The sequence below is a fragment of the Homo sapiens genome, chromosome 19, assembly GCF_000001405.40.
Source record: "Homo sapiens chromosome 19, GRCh38.p14 Primary Assembly".
Lineage (NCBI taxonomy): Eukaryota > Metazoa > Chordata > Mammalia > Primates > Hominidae > Homo > Homo sapiens.
In genome coordinates, this window is record NC_000019.10 from 39,354,177 (window position 1) to 39,377,980 (window position 23,804).

Genomic DNA, 23,804 nt, shown 5'->3' on the forward strand with positions numbered 1-23,804 from the left:
GAACTGAATTTTCTTGACTTTCAGCATTTCCTCTATCCCATGTTGTCACTCCCTTGGAGTCATCTACCCTGCTTTTCTCCTCTAGAGTAAAAGAACAAATATAATTTCTTTTCTGCGTGCTACCTCTTCAGATATTCAAAGTCAGTTATGCCATTCCCCTTGAGTCTTCTCTTCCCCAGAGGAAAATCTCAGTGCCTTCAATTTTTTTTTCTTAAAACAAGGTTTTCAAATCCCTTTACCATCCTATGAGCTGTTCCTTCTATCTTCTTCCCCCCTAGGGCTATAGAAATCCCAAGTGTGGCTTCCACATTCACCTTCTATAGCTATTTATTTATTCAATAAATATATATTGAGCACCTTCTACGTGCCAGGCACTGTTGTAGGCACTGGCTGACTGTATGGCTTGCGTTTTGGTCAGTAGAGAGAAACAAATAAGATGATACCTGAGAGTGCCAAATTATATAGGAATGAAATAGTGTTAATATAATTGGAGGAGTAACTCCTGAGATTGGATGGTCAGGGAAGCTCTCTCTGAAGAAATGACAATGAGCTGAGACCTGAATGACAGGAGCCAGCTTCTAGGGGAAGACAGTTCCACTGAATAAGAAATAATTTGGTACAAGATGAGGTTGGAGTGGCCACAGGAGTCCTATAGGGCTCGGTAGTTCAAGATAAGATGTTTGGAATTTGTTTAAAATTTTTTTTTCTTTTTTTCTGAGGCAGAGTTTCCCTGTCACCCAGGCTGGAGTGCAGTGGCATGATCTCAGCTCACTGCAACCTCCGCCTCCCAGCTTCAAGCGATTATCGTCCCTCAGCCCCCCAAGTCACTGGGATTACAGGCGTGCAGTAGCACGCCCGGCTAATTTTTGTATTTTTAGTAGAGACGGGATTTCGCCACTTTGGCCAGTCTGATCTTGAACTCCTGACCTCAAGTGATCCACCTGCCTTAGCCTCCCAAAGTGCTGGGATTACAGGTGAGAGCCACCATGCTTGACCTTATTTAGATTTTATTTAAGTGCAATGGGAAGTCATTGGAGAATTTTAGGCCAGGGAGGTGACATCTGATTTCCCCTTTAAAAAAAATTGCTGGACGCTTGTTTAACTTGGAGCAAGGTTTCATTTTCCCTCATACCTTTCCTGCTTCTTACATCCAAAGGGATTGGCAACCAGGCCAGTTCAGTCTGTTTAGGGGTCCCACAGGGGATCTGTGAGGCAAGTCACAGCTGTTGCCTAATGCACCCCACAGCCCTCCTCAGCAAGCGCACGGAAGTTCAGAGAGATGTGAGTAGCTCCCTTAGACCTGAGCCCAGTAGGTTCAATGGGTCTTTGTATGAAGTTCTCAGTCCGGGGAACCTTAGTCCTTTGGCAGCCAGAGGGGGATGGAGCTGAATGTGGTTTGAGGATAGAGCCAAGGGCACTGGTTGCAAGAGAGACAGATGGAAGAAATGTTGAGTGGAGATCTGGAGCTCGAGACACTTAGAAAAAGCCTTCGGAGTGGTGTCCAGAAACCAACCACCTGAAAAATAGGTCTGTTGTTTGCCCAGTTGAAATAACTTTTCTTTAGTTCCTGCCTAAGAGGGGAATTTGGACACTTTGTAGCTTGTGAGTTTTTGACTTTTGATCTGTCCCCTTCCCCTCAGGTTGGCATTTTCTTTGCTTCCAGGAGGAGCCTGAGACAAGCTGGCATCTCTGGAAGTCGGGGACTTCCCAACCAGAGAGTTTAGGTTTGGAGTCTTCAGGGGAATTAAGAGGGCAGGGAGCGATTCACCTCAGAATAGAGATGGGTAAAATCTGATAAATCAGAGTTGTGCCTTTTCCAGAGTCAGGGAAGCTGGGTTAGAGAGGGTGAGATTCCCTCAGCCTGTTGGTGATCTTTGAAAAGCCCTTTGTCCATGCCCACACCTGATAGATACCCAGCCAGTTACTAATCAGATGGCTGGCTGCATACCTGAGATCTCCACCAGGGTCACTACCCGACCATCCATCCTCTACCCAGCATTGTGGGTCTAGCTTGAAGTAATTTAAAGAGCCCTTGGAGTCCTATCAGTAGGTTAGGAGTCACACTGCCCAGCTCTCAGAGAAGGTGGCCAGAAACCAGCAAGGTCAGAGATGTGCTGTGCTTAGTCATGTCACCTTGGGCCAGATCGCCATCAATTCATATCTTTTCTCATAATTTGCAGCCTACTATTTCCCACTTCTGAAAAATTTTTCCAATATATTTTCTGTGTTAAATCCGCTTCCTTTGACACTATGACAGCCAGGTGTGAGGGCCAACATCTCCTTGGTCTCTGGGATAGGCATCTAAGTCCCAGTCACGCCTTTTCTCTGGATCTGAAGATTTGGGTGAAAGTAGCTTTAATATCTGGTGTTGGCTTCATGTTTCTTCCAGGAGCTCAGCAGAGCAAGTACCCTGAAAGAGAAAGGCATGAGGCCTTCATGCCCCCTCAACCCACACTCACCAGGCAAGTTTCAGCCCCTTCTTTCTGTTTGACCCCTTTGCTTCCTTTTTCAGGAAACTGGAGAGGCGTGGCTGGACCAAGACCTCCCCCCATGTGAGCAGGCTTCCTCCTCCCCCAACAACCGTTGCCACCACGCCCAGAAACGTCCTTAAGCCCTGGCCCTCAGGGGAAAGGTAACAGGAGGCCAGAGCCGGGACCATGTGACGGCGCTGGCCCTCGCCACCGCCGTCCCCCGACCCTGGCCCCAGGCCCGGCACCATGATGTTCCGAGACCAGGTGGGCATCCTCGCTGGCTGGTTCAAAGGCTGGAATGAGTGTGAGCAGACAGTGGCCCTCCTGTCACTTCTGAAACGGGTCACCCGTACCCAGGCCCGCTTCCTGCAGCTCTGCCTGGAGCACTCACTGGCGGACTGCAATGACATCCACCTGCTGGAGTCGGAGGCCAACAGTGCTGGTGAGTTTCCACCCTTAGAGATGGGAGCACAGCAGGAGGGAGACCTGGAACAGATGTCACATGGCTAAGAAGGTCAACCCAACAATGGGACTAAAAAACGTGGGTTCTAGGCTTGGTGGGTGGGGAGTTCCTTACCTTCTAAGTTGTCATCATGGGTCTTCTGGGACTGTGTTGCCATAAATCCTCAGGCATGGTATGGTGGACTTATGGGAGAAGGCAATGCAAACTGGAAACTCCCCATAACAGGAAGATCATGTAGAGTGGCTTATGTGGGCTGCTGAAAGGAACAGACTAAAGTCATTATGAAAGGCGTATAGAAGGTGAGCAGTAATTAATTTCTTAAGCTTCAGGATATCAGGGCTAGGAGGGAATTTGAGAACTCTTCCAAAATTCATGTCATCCTATACTATTCTTTACCCTCAAAGGTAGGTTGGACTTAAAGCATAAGCAGCTTCCAGAAAGTTTTGAATTTAGATACAGTTCATCCTGTCAGTTCCCTAAGTACTTATTAGGCACTCTGTGTCCTGTGAGATTGGCATTGGGATGGGTGAGCCAGGCTTCTCTTAAGACCTGTCCCTTAGGCCCCAGTTGTAGACAGGAGTCAGGCTAGAATCAGGGGCTACTGCTGAAGCTACTCTAGCTGTCTGGGCCTCCACAGGGCTGGATGGAGAGCTGTTGGCCCCAGTGACAGATGGGAGAGATGGAGGCCAAAGAAGAGGGAGGGTAGTGGATACCCGAAAGCTAGCTGGGAAGGGCATCAAGGGGCTCCATGCAGTTTGTCCAAATTAGTCACCCTAACTCTTTGCACCTTCTTCTTCAGAATAATAGTTCATATTGAGCCTTTACAGCAAGCCAAGTACTGTCTTTACTTGTATATTAACTTTAAAAGCAGTGTTCTTGGCCAGATGCAGTGGCTCACGCCTGTAATCCCAGCACTTTAGGAGGCTGAGGCAGGCAGATCACCTGAGGTCGGGAGTTCGAGACCAGCCTGGCTAACGTGGCAAAACCCCGTGTCTATTAAAAGTACAAAAATTAGCTGGGCATGGTGGCAGGTGCCTGTAATCCCAGCTACTCGGGAGGCTGAGGCAAGAGAATCGCTTGAACCCGGGAGGCGGAGGTTGCAGTGAGCCAAAATCGTGCCATTGCACTCCAGCCTGGGCTATGAGAGCGAAACTCTATCTCAAACAAACAAACAAAAAAAGCAGTGTTCTTACGTGGCTCTCAAGTCAGACTGTCTAAGTTTAAATCCCAGTTCTGTTACTTGCCATATAACCAAGTAACTTAACCTCTCTGTGCCTCACTTTCCTGCGCGCCACCACGCCTGGCTAATTTTTGTATGTTTAGTAGAGACGGGGCTTCACCATGTTGGTGAGTCTGGTCTCAAACTCCTGACCTCATGATCTGCCCACCTCAGCCTCCCAAAGTGCTGGGATTACAGGCATGAGCCACCGCACCCAGCCAGTTTCCTCATCTTAAATTCAACATGATATCCTGAGAAGTATGTAACCTCAGTAAAAAAAAAAAAAGAAAAGGAAAGAAAAAAGATGATAATTATATCTACCTTCTAGGGTAGTTGTGAGGATTCAGTGAATTAACACGTGTGGCTTCCTACATGCCTGACATGTAGTAAACAATAACTGTCAGTTGTTAATTGTCAATAACTCACTTAGTCCTCACAACAACCCCATGAGGTAGGTCCTGTCATTAGCCCCATTTTACAAGTCAGGAAACAAGCATGGACTGCTAGGATTGGGTTTTGGGGAGCCACACAGCTGCCTGGCCTCCCTCATCTCCCCAGGCCCACCTGCCTTAGCAACAGTCACCCTTATTTTACTGAGTTTTTGTGTGGAAGTCACAGAAGCAGCATGATTGTAGCGGGAGACGGTTACTCAGGCCAGGGGTCACATCAGCTTAGTTCCTAGTCTGGCAGTAAGTTCTTAGTCCTAGACAAAGAGCAATAAGAACCCAGCTCAGCTGCAGCAGGCTCGGAGCTCAGCCATTTCTCACCCCTGCCACACTCCCCACCACTCTAACACTAAAGGCAGGAGTTCTGTTTGTGATATGACTCTGCCTTTATAGTGGGGGCTCCTGTGGGGCAGGCCAGTGTCTTACACAGCTTCGTCACACATCCCCACTGTCCCATCCTGAGCAGGCAGTTGGATTACCTCTGGGTGCCACTCTTAGCTGTATATCAGAATCACCAGTAGTACTTAGTAATTTCAGTGCTTTTAGTTTTTGCTTTTGTTTTCAGAACTTGCAGTAAAATCAGATAGTACAAAAGGTGAAAGTGAGGTTTTTCTTCCAGACTTCACGTTCTCATTTCCTTATGTTTTATGAGATAAATTCCCTGCATATATGAATGCATATATATTTTCCTTCCAACTTTGTCATTGTTTTGTCTTAATACATATGGCCAAACATGCATATTAACCAGTTTGGTTTTTTCACTTACCAATATGATTTGAAGATCATTCCGTATTCAGCACATACGTCTGTTTCTCGTTAAGTATTTATTTACACCTCACAACAACTCTGTACTCCCCTGTTACTCCCCCATTTTACAGAGGAGACTGTAGGTCTGGAGATATTAAATGACTTGCTGTGGGTCACACAATTGATAAGAGGTAGAGTTCAAATTTGACTTCAGAGTTCTTTAGAGCTCTTGACCAATAGACTCTTCCACATGGTACATGTGGTCTTCATCTTACAAACAGTGATGTAATGAGTACCCTTTAAACATCTCTAGGATGAACTCCTCAGATTCTGCAGAACTGCTAGTTTAAAGGTGTATGCAATTAAAATATTTGTTCTCCAGGCCAGGCGCGGTGGCTCAAGCCTGTAATCCCAGCACTTTGGGAGGCCGAGGCAGGCGGATCACGAGGTCAGGAGATCGAGACCATCCTGGCTAACACGGTGAAACCCCGTCTCTACTAAAAATACAAAAAAATTAGCCGGGCGTCGTGGCGGGTGCCTGTAGTCCTAGCTACTCGGGAGGCTGAGGCAGGAGAATGGTGTCAACCCGGGAGGCGGAGCTTGCAGTGAGCCAAGATTGTACCACTGCACTCCAGCCTGGGCGACAGAGCAAGACTCCGTCTCAAAAAAAAAAAAATAAAAAAATAAAATAAAATATTTGTTCTCACCACATTGCCCTTGAAAGACATGCTGCATTTTATACAAATAACCTGAGGCCCGTTCCCAGATGGTTTGCAGTGGGATATTGGTGGTAATGCCTAGCCAGGGTTGAGAAGTGCTGTGAAATGAATTGAATGATGAATGAATATATGAATCAAGGTTTTTATCCATAGCCCCATATCAGATGGTGAGAATAACAAGCTGGTACTTAAATGGGTGGAGAGGAAAGGAAAACTTAGAATGAGGGAAGGCCATGGTGTGTTCCAGAGTCAGCAGGAAGCCTGCCAGGACTGGAGCAAAGCATGACTTGAAAGAGAAGTGATCACAGAGGTAAATTCTGGTAGAGTCTTGAATGCCTGTTTTCTAGTAGACCTGAGGGCTCTAAGACTAAGAAGCAGGTGCCTCCTGTTTCACTCCTACCCTCAAGTAGAACCCCACCTGCCTTATTTGTAAAGGAAGGTGCTACTTTCTGGGCCTGGAGACCTGCCTCAAAGAAGGAGCTGTTCATACTCTTGTTTCTCCTCTGGTTATTATGGCCTTCCCATTCCCTGGTGTTTCTCAAACTTGCATCATCATCAGAATCACTGGGGTTAGGTGACTGTTACAATCCAGATTTCTGCCCCCCATAGACCTACTAAATCAGAATCCTGAGGGTATGGGCCTGGGAACGAGTACCCAGGTTCTTCTGCTCACCAGGCAGTGTGAGAGGTGATGCCCTGCTGGATGATTCATTTGTTGTGAGACATGAGACACCCAAGAGTTGTAGATCCAGCTCTCCACTAACACCTCTTGTGACCTGGGTCAGTCCTGCCTGACCCTCTCGGGCCTCAGGATCCCCATTTGGACAGTGAGGGGGTTGTTCTGGTACTTTCCAGGTACTTCTTGGGCTCTGAAATAATGTGCCAAAGAAGACAGAGCCACAGCCAAGCATACTACTTTCTTTTGGGAGAGGCCCAGCACATTATTCTAGGGCAAGAGTTCTTAATATTTAGCGGGATGGACCAGTTAGAAAATCTTCCCCTCCTCCCCACCCTCCCCAAAAAGATGCACACCTACTCCACAAACCAACTCTTGAGTTCAGTTGGTTCACTAGTCCCCAGTTAAGAGTTCCCTGGCCGGGCGCCATGGCTCACACCTGTAATCCCAGCACTTTGGGAGGCCGAGGCAGGCGGATCATGAGGTCAGGAGATTGAGACCATCCTGGCTAAAATGGTGAAACCCCGTCTCTACTAAAAATACAAAAAATTAGCCAGACGTGGTAGTGGGTACCTGTAGTCCCAGCTACTTGGGAGGCTGAGGCAGGAGAATGGTGTGAACCCAGGAGGCGGAGTTTGCAGTGAGCCGAGATTGCGCCACTGTACTCCAGCCTGGGCAACAGAGTGAGACTCCATCTAAAAAAAAAAGAGTTGCCTGTCTTCCCGGCCGGGCGCGGTGGCTCACGCCTGTAATCCCAGCACTTTCGGAGGCCGAGGTGGGCGGATCACGAGGTCAGGAGATGGAGACCATCCTGGCTAACACGGTGAAACCCCATCTCTACTAAAAATACAAAAAAATTAACCGGACATGGTGGTGGGCGCCTGTAGTCCCAGCTACTCAGGAGGCTGAGGCAGGAGAATGGCGTGAACCCAGGAGGCACAGGAGCTTGCAATGATCCGAGATCGCACCACTGCACTCCAGCCTGGGCGACAGAGCCAGACTCCGTCTCAAAGAAAAAAAAAAGTTGCCTGTCTCCAAGCCCTTCTTTAGCTTGGTCCCTTCAAACCTGGAGAGCTGAACAGTGAGGTAGATCCCCTGCTTTTTTGTGGGTTGTATCTCCATGTCCCACCGAACCAACCTTAGTACTTCCTCCAGTTCTCCAGGGAGACCTTGGGTGTGGGTCAGAGCTGCCCAGTTGTCTGCTTCCTGCTCAGATAGATCAGGTAGCACAGAGCTGACCTAGGTGAATATGTCCCTAGCTTTGTGTTAGAATCCCCCAGGGCCTTTCTAAAAATAATGTGAAGCCCAGGTCCTATCCCTGGAGATTTAAAGCTCCCTGGTTGACTCTTGGGTGCACCCAGTGGAGAACCACTTGTCTTGATGCTGACGCTGATTTTGGGTAGGCCCGGGAAGCTGGTGAGGATACTGTTGTGTGACCTACTAGAAGTGGGGAGTCGGGGCTTATAGCTGTGGAAAGCCTGGCCTAGGTCATCGCTTCCTCTCAGGCAGCTGGGAAGGTATAGGGAAGTCCTCCAGCACAGGCAGCCAGCATCAGTTTCATGGAAGTAGGACATGAGGCGCAACACCTAGAAACAGAAAAGCAATATTCCAAGGGTCTCTGGAACAGGGAAGAAGAGGTCCCAGGTTACCCCTTGTTGTAATCCCTGTTTGTTCTCCAGGTGCTGTCTTCCCTGCCTCTTTGGAGCTAGAACAATAACCCTGGTCCTCTCCTTTCCTCTGATGCTGACTTGGACCAGAAGGCTGTTCCTATGGACAGGAGGAAGGAGACTAGGGGGGTCAGGGGAGCTGAATTCCACTTCCCTCCACTGTCCTGTAGCTTCCTGGGAGACATTTCCTGCATTTTCTTCCCACCTCCTATTCTGAGTCAGTCCCCATATCTAGCAGGTTTAAACTCCTCCCTCTCTGGCTCATTCAGTCTGGGTGGGGAAACTGAGGTCAGGAGGGGCAATGGCAAGTGAGTCATCAGAGCTCAGCCCTGTCCTCCACCCTCCACTTTCAGGCTCTGCTTGACAGTTCATCAAACAAAAATGTGAGCCCCCTGCCCTCCCCTGTGTCCATGTGAGCAGGGGTGAGGCAGAGAAGGTCATGTTTAGAGCCAAACCCTAGCCCCTCTGACTGGTGCCTGAGGCTACTCCAATTGTTGCACCAGGCCAGTACATAAAAATGGGTTTGCTCTTAGAGCAGTCTCGATTGGTGCCTGTAATTTGCCAGGACCCAGGGTCATGACCTACTTAGCTCTAGTCACCTGGCCAGCTCTGCCCTGCTGCCACTATAGCCAGGGAGGACATTTATACGCACAGCATTCCTCAACCTCTCCATGTTTGCAGAGTCCAAGTTTGCAGCTTGGTGAGAAGCAGCCGTTGGTGTCTTGGCATTCCCCAGCCCCTTCCCCCATCTGCCCACCTCCAGAATTTCATCATTGCTTGTTGTACTTCTAGCTCCAAGGAATCAGAGATGTGTCTGTTTTTGGTAAATAACTGTATGAAATTCCCCACCCCTGTCGGGAATCTTAAGGGGAAGGCCCAGATGTGCTTTTGTACATGAACTGTTCCCACCAGCCCTGAAACAGCATGGGCTCTAGATTCAACGAGGAGCAACAACAATAATAGTTAAAATGTACTTGAGCACTTACCACATGCCAGACGCTTTGCATGATTGTCTCATTGACTCTTTACAACAATCCTGTGAGGTAGAGGCCTTACAGTCCCCATTTACAGAAGAGACCAAGGATCAGAGAGGTTAAAGGACTGGCCCACAATGATATTGAGTTAGGTCATGGAGGCAGAGCTAGATTTTGAATCCAGCAAGTTTGCCTGTTGAACTTGTGCTCTTACTTAGTATACTCTGCTAGGACCTGAGACAGAGTACACCACTACCTTCCAGGGGACCATCTGGGTTCAATTGTGCAGGTATTCGTTGGGCCTCTGCTGTGCCTCCACTCTGGGCCAGGCTTTTTCTGATCTGGGCAGGAAACTAGAAGTTCCATCCCCACCCATTATTTACAGCCCCAGCTGGGCTCACCCCAAGGGGCCTGAGGCTGCACAAATTACTTGGGCCAGTTCCAGTGCTCACTGATGCTTCTCAGTCATGGGAGGCCCGCCCTCCCCACCACCACCACACAGACACATGAACACACATTTCCCCAGAATCAGCCTCCATTTGTCCAAAACCACTCTCCCCTTTCTCGGCAGCAGAACAAGGTCCTGCATTGAGCCCAACCCTTGGGGCTGTTCTGTCATGTCCCCTGGCAGTACCAGAGAAGCTGTGTCCCTTAGCCCTGGGGTCCTGGCAGTACTCTGGAGTGGGGAAAGGACTAGACAAGGCTTCTCTCTGTCCCAGATGCCTCTGGCTATGCTGCAAGGCCTAAACAACAGCGATTGAGAATGTCAGGGTAGGGCTGGAGGGGCAGGCTGACTCGACTACTGGAGAAGAGAGGAAAACACCCGTCACTGAGCCACAGACTGAATGTTTACTATGAGTACACTCTGTCAGATGCTTTTCATGCATCATCTCCCTACATCTTCTCAGCAGCTTTATAATCCTTACTTTACAGAGGAGGAAGCATACTGCCCAGGCCACTGTGTGTTTTTGACTGGGGTGCATATCCTTGACTTATTTTTATTTTTTTTTATTTTCATTCTTGACTTTCTGTCCCTAATGGGAATCACTGTCTTTCTTCTTTCTCATCAAGAACTGAAAACTACAGGACTAAGTTATCAAACAGGGTACCACAGAGTTCTTATCGTTTGATCCAGTGCCAGGTGGAGTTGGGAGGGCAGGAAAGACAAAAGTTCTGTGACTTCAGTGAGGCCTTTTCTGCCTTGGAAAATGATCTTTAGATGTGGAGATGGCCTGAAGGACAGCTTCATAATCTTGGCAGTCGGTTCAAGTGAAGACAGACAAGGGAATGAGGTTTCCTAGCTTTGAGTGGCAGATGCTGAAGGGGATCTGGAAATCCAGGGAAGAAGAGAGACTTGGGATTGGAGAGATAAAAGGTTGTGGGTAAAAAGTTCCCCCCTGGCTGGGCGCAGTGGCTCACACCTGGAATCCCAGCACTTTGGGAGGCTGAGGCAAGTGGATCACGAGGTCAGGAGATCGAGACCATCCTGGCTAACACGGTGAAACCCCATCTCTACTAAAAATACAAAAAAAAATAAATTAGCCGGGTGTGGTGGCGGGCGTGTGTAGTCCCAGCTACTCAGGAGGCTGAGGCAGGAGAATGGTGTGAACCCAGGAGGCAGAGCTTGCAGTGAGCCGAGATCGTGCCACCGCACTCCAGCCTGGGTGACAGAGCGAGACTCCGTAAAAAAAAAAAAAAAAAAAAGTTCCTCCCTGCCGGACACCATGGCTCACACCTGCAATCCCAGCACTTTGGGAGGCCGAGGCAGGTGGATCACCTGAGTTTAGAAGCTTGATACTAGCATGGCCAATATGGCAAAAGCCCGTCTCTACTCAAAATATAAAAATTAGCCAGGTGTGGTGGCGTGCGCCTGTAATCCCAGCTACTGGTGGGGGCTGAGGCAGGAGAATTGCTTGAATCCAGGAGGTGGAGGTTGCAGTGAACCGAGATCATGCCACTGCACTCCAACTTGAACAACAGAGCAAGCCTCCATGTCAAAAAAAAAAAATGGAGGCACACAGAGCCTGGATTCAGATCTCAGCTGTGTCGCTTAATGGGCTCTGTCACTTAGGGTGTGTGACCTCACCTTCCCAAATCTGTTTTCTCACCTGCAAGATGAGCACACCAAAACAGGATTAAAACAGGGATGAAAAGCAATCATTTTTAGCATAGTGTCTGGCACATAGTAAATGCTCAATAAACAGTATCCTTCATTCTGAATGAAAGTGCCATATGTTATTGCTATTGTCAGTAGTAGCAACAGCAATAGTGGTATTGGTTCTACTATTAATTTTAACCAATGCTGTAGACATAGTATGAGTTGATGACTTTGAATGAATGGATTTAACAGGTGTTCCCTTGGCTGGGCACAGTGGCTCATGCCTGTAATCTTAGCACTTTGGGAGGCTGAGGTGGGCAAGTCATTTGAGAGCAGGAATTTGAGACTAGCTTGGCCAACATAGTGAAAAAAGTAACAGGCAGGACACGGTGGCTAACGCCTATAATCCCAGCACTTTGGGAGGAAAGGTAGGTGGATCACCTGAGGTCAGGAGTTCCAGACCAGTCTGGGCAACATGGTTAAACGCCCCCTCCACTAAAAATATAAAAATTAGCCGGGTGTCATGGTATGTGGCTGTAATCGCAGCTACTCAGGAGACTGAGGCAGGAGAATCGCTTGAACCCCAGAGGCAGAGGTTCCAGTGAGCCGAGATCGTGCCACTGCACTCCAGCCTGGGCAACAAAGTGAGACTCCATCAAAAAAAAATAGCCAGGCATGGTGGTGCACGCCTGTAATCCCAGCTACTTGGGAGGCCGAGGCAGGAGAATCACTTTAACCCGGAGGCGGAGGTTGCAGTGAGCTGAGATCACTGCACTCCAGCCTGGGCAATAGAGCGAGACTCCATCTCAGAAAAATAGAAAACAAAAACTAACAAACAGGTGTTCTCTCTTGGAAGCTTAGAGCAAAGAGCCCCAGGCCAAGAAAATGCACAGTCTTTATAGCCAGGAGTTAGGAACTGTGTGAGATTCATTTTCCTAAGGCTACAAACTTAAGCAGAATTAGGAGTGTATGTGAATTCTAGGCCACAGAGTTCTAAGGGGATCATTAAGAGAAATAGGGCTACAGACAGGGCATTTCTGAGTTTGTATGCAAGGCCAGGTGTCCATCCTTCAGTGTGGGCAGAGGAGACCAGAAGTCCATGGAACTTTTTTTTTAAGTCAATCCTGAAGCATGCTAGATGTCCTTGGAATCGTAAAGGCCTAAGGAACTTGGGTTGAAAGACCCTCAGATGTCTAGGTTTCCAAGACTTTCCTTATAGGTGCTTATTCCTAGCCTCTTGGTTTCCTGGGCCCAGAGATTTGGCTTGTGCCTTTAGAATCTCTGTGTGTATCTGAAAGGAGGGAGACACAGTGAGATATAATAACCACAATACTAGTAAAAGCAGCTAGTGTTTACTGAGGACTTACTCTATGCTGTGGCCTCACATAATTCATAGCAGCCATGCCAGGTAGGAATGATTCTGGGCTCCACTTTACAGATAGAGAAAATAGAGCTCAGTGAAGTGATCACACTTGCCCAGAGTCACATGGCCAGTAAGTGGTGGTAAAGGGACATATGCCACATCTCTGCCTATTCCTTTTCATCACCCACTCCTTTGGGGTCCTAGCTCTGTCTGGTTAGAGCCAGCTCCTTTGCCCATTTCCAAGACCTCACCATTAGCACATCTCTCAGAACTCCTTTGTGAGATATTTGTAAGTCATCACCTTGGCTACAGATGTGAGCTCAGTTGCCCAAGGGTGAGAGCGTAGTTGGCCTCAGACCTAAATCTTTGTCTCTTTTCCCAAGTATTGGTATTTTTTGTCCCTCTCCTTGTCCTGTCAGCATTATCTCCATCTTCCACCCTGTTTAGCTAGTCACAGAAGTGCTAATGAGGTTTTTTTTTTCTTTTTCTTTTTTTTTTTTTTTTTTTTGAGACGGAGTCTCACTTTGCCCCCAGGCTGGAGTGCAGTGGCGCGATCTCGGCTCACTGCAACCTCCACCTCCCGAGTTCAAGTGATTCTCCTGCCTCAGCCTCCCAAGTAGCTGGAATTACAGGCATCCACCACCATGCCCGGTTAATTTTTGTATTTTTAGTAGAGACAGGCTTTCACCATGTCGGCCAGGCTGGTCTCCAGCTCCTGACCTCAGGTGATCCACCTGCCTCAGCCTCCCAGAGTGCTGGGATTACAGGCGTGAGCCACCACGCCCAGTGCTAATAAGGTCTTTGAGGGGGAGAGTCAGACTTGTAACAGTTCCTACCCAAGCCTTCTTTGATGTGGCCAGCCTGGGGCCATATTCTTAGGGACCTCCCTTGTGGGTTGAAAGGGGAAACCTGAGGCCGGGCGCAGTGGCTCACGCCTGTAATCCCAGCACTTTGGGAGGCTGAGGCGGGTGGATCACGAGGTCAGGAGATCGAGACCATCTTGGCTAATGCGGTGAAACCCTGTCTCTACTAAAAATACAAAAAATAAGCTGGGCGTGGTGGTGGGCGCCTGTAGTCCCAGCTACTCGGGAGGCTGAGGCAGTAGAATGGCATGAACTCAGAAGGTGGAGCTTGCAGTGAGCCAAGATCGCGCCACTGCACTCCAGCCTGGGCGACAGAGCGAGACTCCGCCTCAAAAAAAAAGAAAAGGGAAACCTGGCTTATCTCCACAGGGTAGACTCAGGTCCTCACACAGTGGGATAGAAAGGAGAGGTCAAGATGACCATGACATGGAACAGCCAGGGAATGCTTCCTGGAGGAAGGTAGTAAGTTAGGCCATCTACAAAAGAGAATTTGTATAGGAGGAAGGAGGTTGTTGCGGGCCAAAACCTTGAATCTCAGCCAAGGTGTGGAGCTTGGATAAATACATACTGTGGAGAGAACCCCAAGGAAGATGGGGAGATATCCTGAGCTGAGTCTTTATCTGGAGGAATGGGAGATGGAGGGTGCCCTGGAAATGAAGGTGATGTTAGGCTAGGAGTTCTTGGACTTGAGTCTGTTGGTGCTTGCTGGTTGCCATTATAAACTCCTGGTCAGGAACATGACATCCTGTTGTGATTTAGGAAGATAAATGCATCTGGATGTATGGGATCGATTGGAAGGGGAGAATCTAGAAGCAGAGAGACCAGTTAAAAAACAATAGCAAGCATTTATTATGTCGCCAAACCACTTTGTGTTCTTTGCTAGCTCATTGAATCTCAAAGCAACACTGTGAATTGGGTACTGTAATTATCTCCAAAATTTCGCAGATAATTTAGTGCTCCATGAGGTTCAAGGTAGCTTACCAAGATCTAGCTAGTAAGCTGGGGTGTCTAGACCATCTGATTCCAGAGCCCAAGCTTTTAACTACCATATACCACTGCCTTCTCCATTCAGGAAGGAGACTGCTTTTTGGCAGGGGAAATGGCATAGAGGCCATGAAGAATGGAGGAAGGAGTCATGGAGATAAAGCATGAGAGCAGGCCTGGGGACAGGAGTTGTTCAGATTCCAGAGTAGCAAGTTTGGCTGATTGGGAGGCACTGCAGGTTTCTGAGAACAGGAGTGATAGAACAAAGAAAAATTACTCTACACCAGCTGTGGTGGGCACATGACTGTAGTACCAGCTACTTGGGAGGCTGAGGCAAGAGGATTGCCTGAGTCCAGGAGTTCTGGGCTATAGTGTGCTATGCTGATTGGGTGTCTGCACTAAGTGTGGCCCCAGTATGGTGACCTCCTAGGAGTGGGGGACCACCAGGTTGCCTAAGGAGGGGTGAACTGGCCCAGTTTGGAAATGGAGCAGGTCAAAACTCCCGTGCTGATCAATAGTGGGATTGCACTTGTGAATAGCCACTGCACTGCAGCCTGGGCAACATAGTGAGACCCCATCTCTTAAAAAAAATAAGACAAAAATTACTCCAGAGGCAGGGTCAGTGTGTTTGATCTCACCTATATGAGGGATAAGTTTGGGAGTTATGAAAAGAAAATCGTTATGAAAAGAAGATTGGAGCTGAGGGAATAGGCCATAGGCAGTGCTCTCAGGTGAATAGGAGTACCCCACCCTGGCTCTCCTGATATTTCTTCTTATCCCTTCTGTAGCCATCGTCAGCCAGTGGCAGCAGGAGTCCAAAGAGAAGGTGGTGTCCCTCCTGCTGTCCCACCTTCCCCTGCTTCAGCCAGGCAACACAGAGGCCAAGTCGGAGTACATGAGGCTACTGCAGAAAGTGCTGGCCTACTCAATCGAGAGCAATGCTTTCATCGAGGAGAGTCGCCAGCTGCTTTCCTATGCCCTCATCCACCCAGCCACCACACTGGAGGACCGCAACGCACTGGCCCTCTGGCTGAGCCACCTGGAAGAGCGGTTGGCTAGTGGCTTCCGCTCCCGGCCAGAGCCCTCCTACCATTCACGTCAAGGCTCAGATGAGTGGGGGGGCCCTGCAGAGCTAGGCCCTGGGGAGGCAGGGCCAGGCTGGCAGGACAAGCCACCCCGGGAAAATGGACACGTGCCCTTCCACCCATCCAGCTCAGTGCCGCCAGCCATCAACAGTATTGGGAGCAATGCAAACACAGGTAAGTGGCGGGGGTGTCCCAGAAGGCCATGCCTACTTGAAAAAGGTTGGACTAGGCTCAGTGAGAGCTCTCTCGCTCTGTGGCATTAGACAAGTCACATAAGCTGTAGGCCTCAACTTTATGAGGCAATGCAGAGGCTGTGAACTGGCTTTCCCAGAGCTGAATCTGACCTACAGACATGTCTTATTGAACCCATACTTTGGTTTGGTTTTATTTTGTTGTGTTGGGTTTTTAAATAAATGTGAGTGGTACAAAGAATCAAGAATTTTTCCCTAAAAATGAGATTTCCAGCCTTTCTTGAGAAGTCAAAAGATCTAGCAACTCAACAAGATCTGTTTTCCTAGTGGCAGCAATAATATAGAGCTTAATGTTGAGCATGCCCTTTAGACCCTGCACAAGTGCCCTAGTCTGCCTCTGCTCCCACCAACCCCCCTTTGGGCATTTCTGATATATACCTGGCCTCTAAGGGCATCAGGCTATGACGCTTGATGGAGGTGTGCATACCATCATCTGAGATCCCTTCCAGTTCAGACAACATTATGGATTTTATGTATCTGGCCTCACTTTACAGCTTTGTTTCTGAGAACACTGTCTGTATAAGACAAAACTCATGCTGCAAGGTATTTGTAATAGTAGGTAGCATTTTTCAGCATTGACTATGCTAGGTACTCTTTTATAGACACTTTTCAGGTATGATCTCAGTCCGCATCACAACCGTATCATTAGCCCTATTCAACAGATGAGGACATCGGGACTCAGAGGTGAAGTGATGTGTTCAAAGTCACACGTAGAACAAGTGGTGGAACAGACCCAACCAGTCTGATGGCAGAGCCTGCCTCTGACCACTACACTGTCCTGCCAACTAAGCAGGTTTGAAAGAGCTCTCTTAGTAAAAGCCCTGCAGGCGGGAGTGAGCAGAAGTTGTTGGTATCCCAGTGACTTTTTGAAATGCACAGGATAAGGGAGGGTGGATTTTCCAAGCCATGGTAAGGCAGCATGACCTGACCCAGGGTGAGGGAGAGGGTTCATGATGTAAACCTCAGAGTAGCTAGTCACCTTCAGCAGGCACTGGTTTAAAGCAAGACAAGAGAGAGTGACAGTGAAATGTCACATGTGTCAGTGGGTGGGGGTAACCTCGGGTCCCTAATGCCCCGCTGTCTGGTACCTGGTGCTCATCAGTTATTCCTTGAGCCTGTTTTTCCCCCAGTTAGTGTGGCTATTCTGGTCCATCTGCCTCCCTCCCAGTTGCTGGTGAGAACCTGGGAAGATAGAGGGATAGAAGGGCAGTTTCAGGAAACTTAGCAACCTGAGGTGTCTTGGACCTCATTTTCCAGTCATGGAGCATCACAGTTCCAGGATGGGAGGATGTATTAATAATGATCATTCTAGGCAAAAAATATTGAGTGCTAGTCCGGGCATGGTGGCTCACGCCTGTAATCCCAGCACTTTGGGAGGCCGAGGCAGGCAGATCACCTGAGGTCAGGAGTTCGAGACCAGCCTGACCAACATGGTGAAACCTCATCTCTACTAAAAATATAAAAATTAGCTGGGTATGGTGGTGCATGCCTATAATTCCAGTTACTCGGGGGGCTGAGGCAGGAAGGTCGCTTGAACCCAGGAGGTGGAGGTGGCAGTGAGCCGAGATCTTGCCATTGCATTCCAGCCAGGGCAACAGAGCGAGACCCCATCTCAAAAAAAAAAAAACAAAAACACACATCGAGTGCTTAGTCTTTACTAGGAGCTATTCTAAGAACTTTATACATATAAACTCAAGGTTTAAAGCCAGGCATTCTGACTATAGACTTCATACTCTGAACTACTATGCTACACTACCTCCACCAAAAAGTACCTCTCCTGGAGATGCTCATCCCTCACCAAGGGGAGGGGTCACCCAGGCAGGGTGCCTATAAATTTCTTTGTCTTCATACCTTTTGTGCTCCCCATCATGGGTACCCCAGCAGCCATTAAAGGATGAAGATTGAACAATGTTGATAGGGGTTTGGACCAAAAGAGGAAAAGGAATTGGGCATTCCAAGTAGAAGGCACAGCATGAAATAAGCACGGGGTGGATAATTAGAGGGGACAGTATACAGACAGATCTGGCTGGGGTGGATTCGAATGAGTAATAACAGTAGCAGAGACTTGTGCTTACCGTGTGCCTATCCCTCTGCTAAGGACTTCATGCAGAAATGGAGGCAGAGAGGTGAATGAAGTGACTTGCCCAAGATCACACAGAGGCGACAGAGTCAGAGTCAGGATTTGAACTCAGGCCTGTCTTTACCCTCAGACCTCAGTGTGTGAAGGCTACATTCTGGGGGGCGTTGAAGGACAGGAGAAGCTTTTGGATTCCAGGCAGTTGCAGGAAACAGGAAATCATTAAAATATTTTTGAGTGGGGAGCAAGGATTGGCCTTTGAGGGCAGGCAGCTTGGGTTTGGGGTGCTGCCAAGAACAGATCAGGATTTCTTGGAGAGTGCAAGGCCCTGGATCTCTGGCCGGCATTCTTGTTTTTGTCATTCTCATGCTGTGGCCAGCCTCCACCCCAGTGCGGAGCCAAGCAGGGCTCCTCAGGAACTGCACGATCATTCCAGTCAGGGTAATTTCCTGCCTCTCAGCCTCTCCTGCCTACTTCTTGGCTGAGAAGGGAGAAAGAAGGAGGCCAGAGACACCAAAACAGGCAAAAAGGCCTGTCTTGAGGATTCCCCAGTCCCCCAGGGCCCAGAGTGTGCCATGTTCCCCAAGAGTGCTGAGTGGGGACAGAAGCCAGGGCTGAGGGAGTCTAGAGGCTGAAGAACTCCTGGGAAGAGGACCCTGGACACTCTGGGGTAGGGCAGAAACTGGTATTAAGGGTGGGCCACTGCCTTGCCCTGTCCCTTAGGTGACTTCCTAGCCAGGAGCATTAGTATTGTCACAGCTGAGGGAAGATGCTCTGGGGCCTGCACCAGGCTAGCCCTCCTTCCTGGGCTGGGTGTCACTGTAGCACTGGCAGGAACCCCAGCCTTTCCATCAGAAACAAGGCTTGGGCTCTGTCTCAGCCTGTCAACTCCCGTGGGAACTGGGGCAAAGGGCTTCAGCTCCCTGGGCCTTGATGTCCTCACCTACCCAGGGTGAGGCTCGTTGGCTTTGTTTCATTTCTTTTTGTCTAGGCTGACTTGGGGTACTTCTGGATGCCATAGGTGGAGCTCAGAGGCCCTCTTAGCACCCTTTTGTCCTTTATGAAACTTCGTTGGAAGGACTTCTGTGTGTCATGCCCTGTGCCTGATCATGGGATTGCAGAAGTAATTGGACTGGGCTGCCATTCTCCATGGACCCACAGTCCAGTGCAAGAGGGAGGCTAGTGAGGAGGGCAGCAAGCAAGAGGGAGGCTAGTGAGGAGGGCAGCAAGCGCCAGGCCTGAGGCAGCAGCAGAGGGGTACATGACCGAGGCATGAAGGGAGAAGTGGCTGATGGAGAAGAGTTGGCGAGGTGAGCGAGGCAGAGGAAAAAGCACAGATAAAGGTCTGGGAGCTCATGGGAACCTGCCCTGTCTTGGGAGTGGTTAAAAATCAAGTTGGAGGCCAGGCATGGTGGCTCACACCTGTAATCTCAGCACTTTGGGAGGCCAAGGCAGGCGGATCACCTGAGGTCGGGAGTTCAAGACCAGCCTAAGCAACATGGAGAAACCCCCGTCTCTACTAAAAAAATACAAAATTAGCCAGGCGTGGTGGTGGGTGCCTGTAATGCCAGCTACTCAGGAGGCTGAGGCAGGAGAATTGCTTGAACCCGGGAGGCAGAGGTTGCAGTGAGCCGAGATTGTGCCACTGCACTCCAGGCTAGGCCACAAGAGTGAAATTCCATCTCTAAAAAATATATATATATATGACCAGGCACAGGTGGCTTACGCCTGTAATCCCAGCACTTTGGGAGGCCAAGGCAGGTGGATCACCTGAGGTCAGGAGTTTGAGACCAGCCTGACCAATATAGTGAAACCCTGTCTCTACTAAAAATACGAAAAACATTAGCTGGGCATGGTGTTGGCCACCCGTAGTCCCAGCTACTCGGGAGGCTGAGGCAGGAGAATCGCTTGAACCCAGGAGGTGGAGGTTGCAGTGAGCCAAGATTGCACCACCGCACTCGGCGACAGAGCAAAACTCCATCTCAAAAAAAAAAATCAAGTTGGATTCCTTTGCCAACCTCAGACTTGGGATGGACAGAGGGTATGGAGCATCCTTCAGAAGAGGACCTGGGATCACCCTGAGTCACCAGGCCTCATGAGTGGCCAGTTTGGGCTCACTGCAGAAAAAAAATGGGAGGTAGTGAGGCCCCATAACAGGGTTGTTGAGGAAGCAGCTTACGTACTTCATTCATTACAAGATATAATGATGTTTAAGATGGGACAGGTTTCTGCTGTCACAGGTCTTCTATTCTAGCAGGGGGTGTAGTTAATAAGTAAACAGGCTGGGCGCAGTGGCTCACGCCTGTAATCCCAGCACTTTAGGAGGCTGAGGTGGGCGGATCACGAGGTCAGGAGATTGAGACCATCCTGGCCAATGTGGTGAAACCCCGCCTCTACTAAAATACAAAAAAATTAGCTGAGCATGGTGGCAGGCATCTGTAGTCCCAGCTACTCGGGAGGCTGAGGCAGGGGAATTGCTTGAACCCAGGAGGCAGAGGTTGCAGTGAGCCCAGATCGTGCCACTGCACTCTGGCCTAGTGACAGAGCAAGACTCCATCTCAAAAAAGTAAATAAATTTTTAAAAAAATAAACAAATAACTTGATAATTTCAGGTTGTGATGGGTGCTGTAAGAAAGACAAGACAGTAATGTGATAGAGTGACGGATTGGGGCAGCAGAGGTGGGCAGTGACTTCAGATTAAGGGTTCAGGGTAGGCCTCAGAGGAGGCGACACTTGAGATGAGACTTGAGGGAGCCAACCGCTGAGATCAAGAAGGTAGGAAGAAAGAGCAAGTCCAGAAGTCCTGAGGCTGGAACAACCTTGAGTGTTTCAGGAACAAAGGGGAGTTTGGGAGGAGGCAAAGGCTAGAGAGGCATGAACCAAGTGGTGGGTTGTGGGAGAGGAACAGGGGCCAGGTCCTGCATGGCCTTTTAGGCATGTGGAAGCATTTGTATTTTGTTCCCACTATGAAAGGAAGTCACAGGGATTTGAGCAGGAGTCAGGCTCGGTCAGATTTGCATTTTTAGAAGGACCTTTATGGCTGTTGTGAGGGGCGTGGACTGTAGGAGGCAAGAGTGAAGGCAGGAAACCAATGAGGAGGCTGTGGCAGTAATTCCTGCCAGGGGTGCTGGTGGCTTGAGCCAGCGGAACTGGAGAAATTCAGGAAAGTGGCTGACAGCTTGCTGATGGGTTGGGTGTTGGAGGTAAGAGAATGAGGTATATCTGGTAGGCAGTTACCCTTGGACCCCAGGTCCCTTCCTCTTGGCAGGTTATGGGGCCAAACTGCCATCCTGGCACTGACGGCAGGGGGATGGTCTCCTGTGGTTGGGTCCCCAGGTCTAATATTTTGCTTTTCTCCCACTCTGGCCAGGTCTCCCCTGCCAAATCCACCCTAGCCCACTGAAGCGCTCCATGTCACTCATCCCTACAAGCCCCCAGGTCCCTGGTGAGTGGCCGAGTCCAGAGGAGCTTGGGGCCCGGGCTGCTTTTACCACGCCCGATCACGCACCTCTCTCGCCCCAGAGCAGCGTGGCCTCCTCTGGCAGTGAGCAGACAGAGGAGCAGGGCTCCAGCCGGAACACCTTCCAGGAGGATGGCAGTGGCATGAAAGGTACATTGGGGACAGCAGCACCAGGACCCTTTTCCAGGGGCTTCTGCAGAGCTTAGAGGACAGAAAGGAGCTTGTAGCTGACACCTGCTTACCCCTCTGAGGAGGGGACATGTCTGAGGGGAGTAGATAGTCCCTGCTTTTAGGGCTCAGGACTAAGCAGAGAGACCCCACATCTACCCTAACAAGTTCTAGTCTGACTGGGAAGGAGCCCCCTGTCTTCACACACCCCAGTCTGACAAGGAAGCCAGGACACAGCTAAGTGATGGAACAGAGGTTCCAGCAAGAGTTTTGGAGCAATCAGTGAGGTCATCCTGGTATACATCCAGCCTAGCAGCTTAGAAGGGTCAGATGTCCTTCCCAGGGAAGGCTGCCTGAGGGTCTGGCTAGGCAGATGAAGAAGGAGCTGATGGAACCTTAGCTCCCCCCAACCCCCTCCCAATTTTTTGCATCTTTTGAGGCTTCCTGTGGGTTTATCCCCACAACTTTTCCTTTACCCTGGTAATCTGGGCCAAACTCCTGACCTTTCACTCTCCCTCCTTTGCCAAAGATGTGCCCTCATGGCTCAAGAGCCTCCGTTTGCACAAGTATGCAGCCCTCTTCTCACAGATGAGCTACGAGGAGATGATGACACTGACTGAGCAGCACCTGGAGTCTCAGGTGAAGCCAAGGGGACCATCAGGGAGGTGCTGGGGGCAGCGCTAGTTTGGCATCCTTGCAGCCCAAGCCTCCTCTGTCTCCTTGATCTCTATTTGGGTACCCCCAAATATCTCAGCCTCACATCTCTAGCTTCCTGTCCCCTTCTGCCCTTATCACAGAACGTCACCAAAGGTGCCCGCCACAAGATAGCCCTGAGCATCCAGAAGCTGCGTGAGAGACAGAGCGTCCTCAAGTCCCTAGAGAAGGTGAGGACCTGGTTTCTGCATCTTCAAGGCCAGCCAGCCACTTGGTGGTACCAGTAGACCAAAGGCCCTGAGTTGGCCTCCAGACTCCTCGGATGTGGCCTCCAAAATTCCCAGCCCTAGGGACCCAGACTTCAGGGACCACATGCAAGCCGGCATCAAAAGGCTCACTTGCTGGTGGCTAAGAGTCTCCCCTCCCTGTCTTTCCTGGTTTGTGGTTCCAGGATCTCTGTCTTTTGACTCTACACCTTCTCTCCCCTTTTGCTTTTCCATTTCTTACTGGTCTTTCTGGTAGAGCAGAGTGTCTCTGTCTGTACAATCTCTCTTTCCATTTGATTGTTTCTAAACTCATTTTCCTTCCACATCTGATTCCGTTTCCTTGCCACTGCCTTCTGTTTGTATTTTTCCCTGCTCAGTGTCTAGGTCTGAATCTCTGATTCTATCCTTGTTGGGTCCTTGAGACTCCAACATTAGACTGGCTTTTCGTGAGTTCTGTGGGACTTCATCTTAATGGGAAAGAGGAAATGTGTACCTATATGTTTGTGGGCTTGCAGTACCCTTACATGCCTTCTCTATGTGCTGGAACCCAGGGTCCTACCCAGCCTTCTGCAAGCCCTGTCTGACTCTCTGTGTAGATACTCTCTGTCCCTCATTGTAGGGTCTGCATGTGACCCCAGCCTGTGTCCTCCCATCCAGGATGTGCTGGAAGGCGGGAACCTACGAAACGCTCTGCAGGAGCTGCAGCAGATCATCATCACTCCCATCAAGGCCTACAGTGTCCTCCAGGCCACCGTGGCTGCCGCCACCACCACCCCTACTGCCAAGGATGGGGCCCCGGGGGAACCACCGCTGCCAGGTGCTGAGCCTCCCCTAGCCCACCCCGGCACAGACAAAGGCACCGAGGCCAAGGACCCTCCAGCTGTGGAGAACTACCCACCTCCACCAGCTCCAGCTCCCACTGATGGCAGTGAGCCTGCCCCGGCTCCCGTCGCCGACGGAGACATCCCCAGCCAGTTTACACGGGTGATGGGCAAAGGTGAGACCAGCCACAGCCTAGCAGGAAATCCTGAGGCAGAAAGCCAAGTGAACCCAAGCACCAGGGATCAAATCCAAGTTCGATGGTGGGAGCAGGGCTTTGTAAAGCCTACTGGAGACTGGAACACTACAGAGAGTAGCCAAGACAGGGTGACAA

At 49.7% G+C, this 23,804-nt stretch overlaps 1 protein-coding gene and 1 pseudogene across 48 annotated transcripts in view; both read left to right on the plus strand.

Moving 5' to 3' along the window:
• SAMD4B (sterile alpha motif domain containing 4B) overlaps window positions 1–23,804 on the plus strand; it is a 48,344-nt gene that overhangs the window by 11,756 nt on the left and 12,784 nt on the right. For 22 of the 48 annotated variants that reach the window (XM_017026919.2, XM_011527057.3, XM_011527062.3 and 19 more), the window contains 6 exons: window positions 2,513–2,913; window positions 15,479–15,949; window positions 21,474–21,713; window positions 22,261–22,370; window positions 22,529–22,615; window positions 23,309–23,648. In XM_017026919.2, coding sequence (XP_016882408.1) covers window positions 2,718–2,913; window positions 15,479–15,949; window positions 21,474–21,713; window positions 22,261–22,370; window positions 22,529–22,615; window positions 23,309–23,648 — 1,444 coding nt within the window. In that variant the 5' untranslated portion in view covers window positions 2,513–2,717. Of the gene's footprint in view, window positions 1–723; window positions 975–1,640; window positions 1,725–2,512; window positions 2,914–15,478; window positions 15,950–21,473; window positions 21,714–22,260; window positions 22,371–22,528; window positions 22,616–23,270; window positions 23,649–23,804 lie in introns of all 48 variants that reach the window. The other 26 variants (NM_001384585.1, NM_001384578.1, NM_001384582.1 and 23 more) reach the window with 8 other exon arrangements.
• On the plus strand, window positions 14,986–15,272 carry RN7SL566P (RNA, 7SL, cytoplasmic 566, pseudogene; annotated as a pseudogene).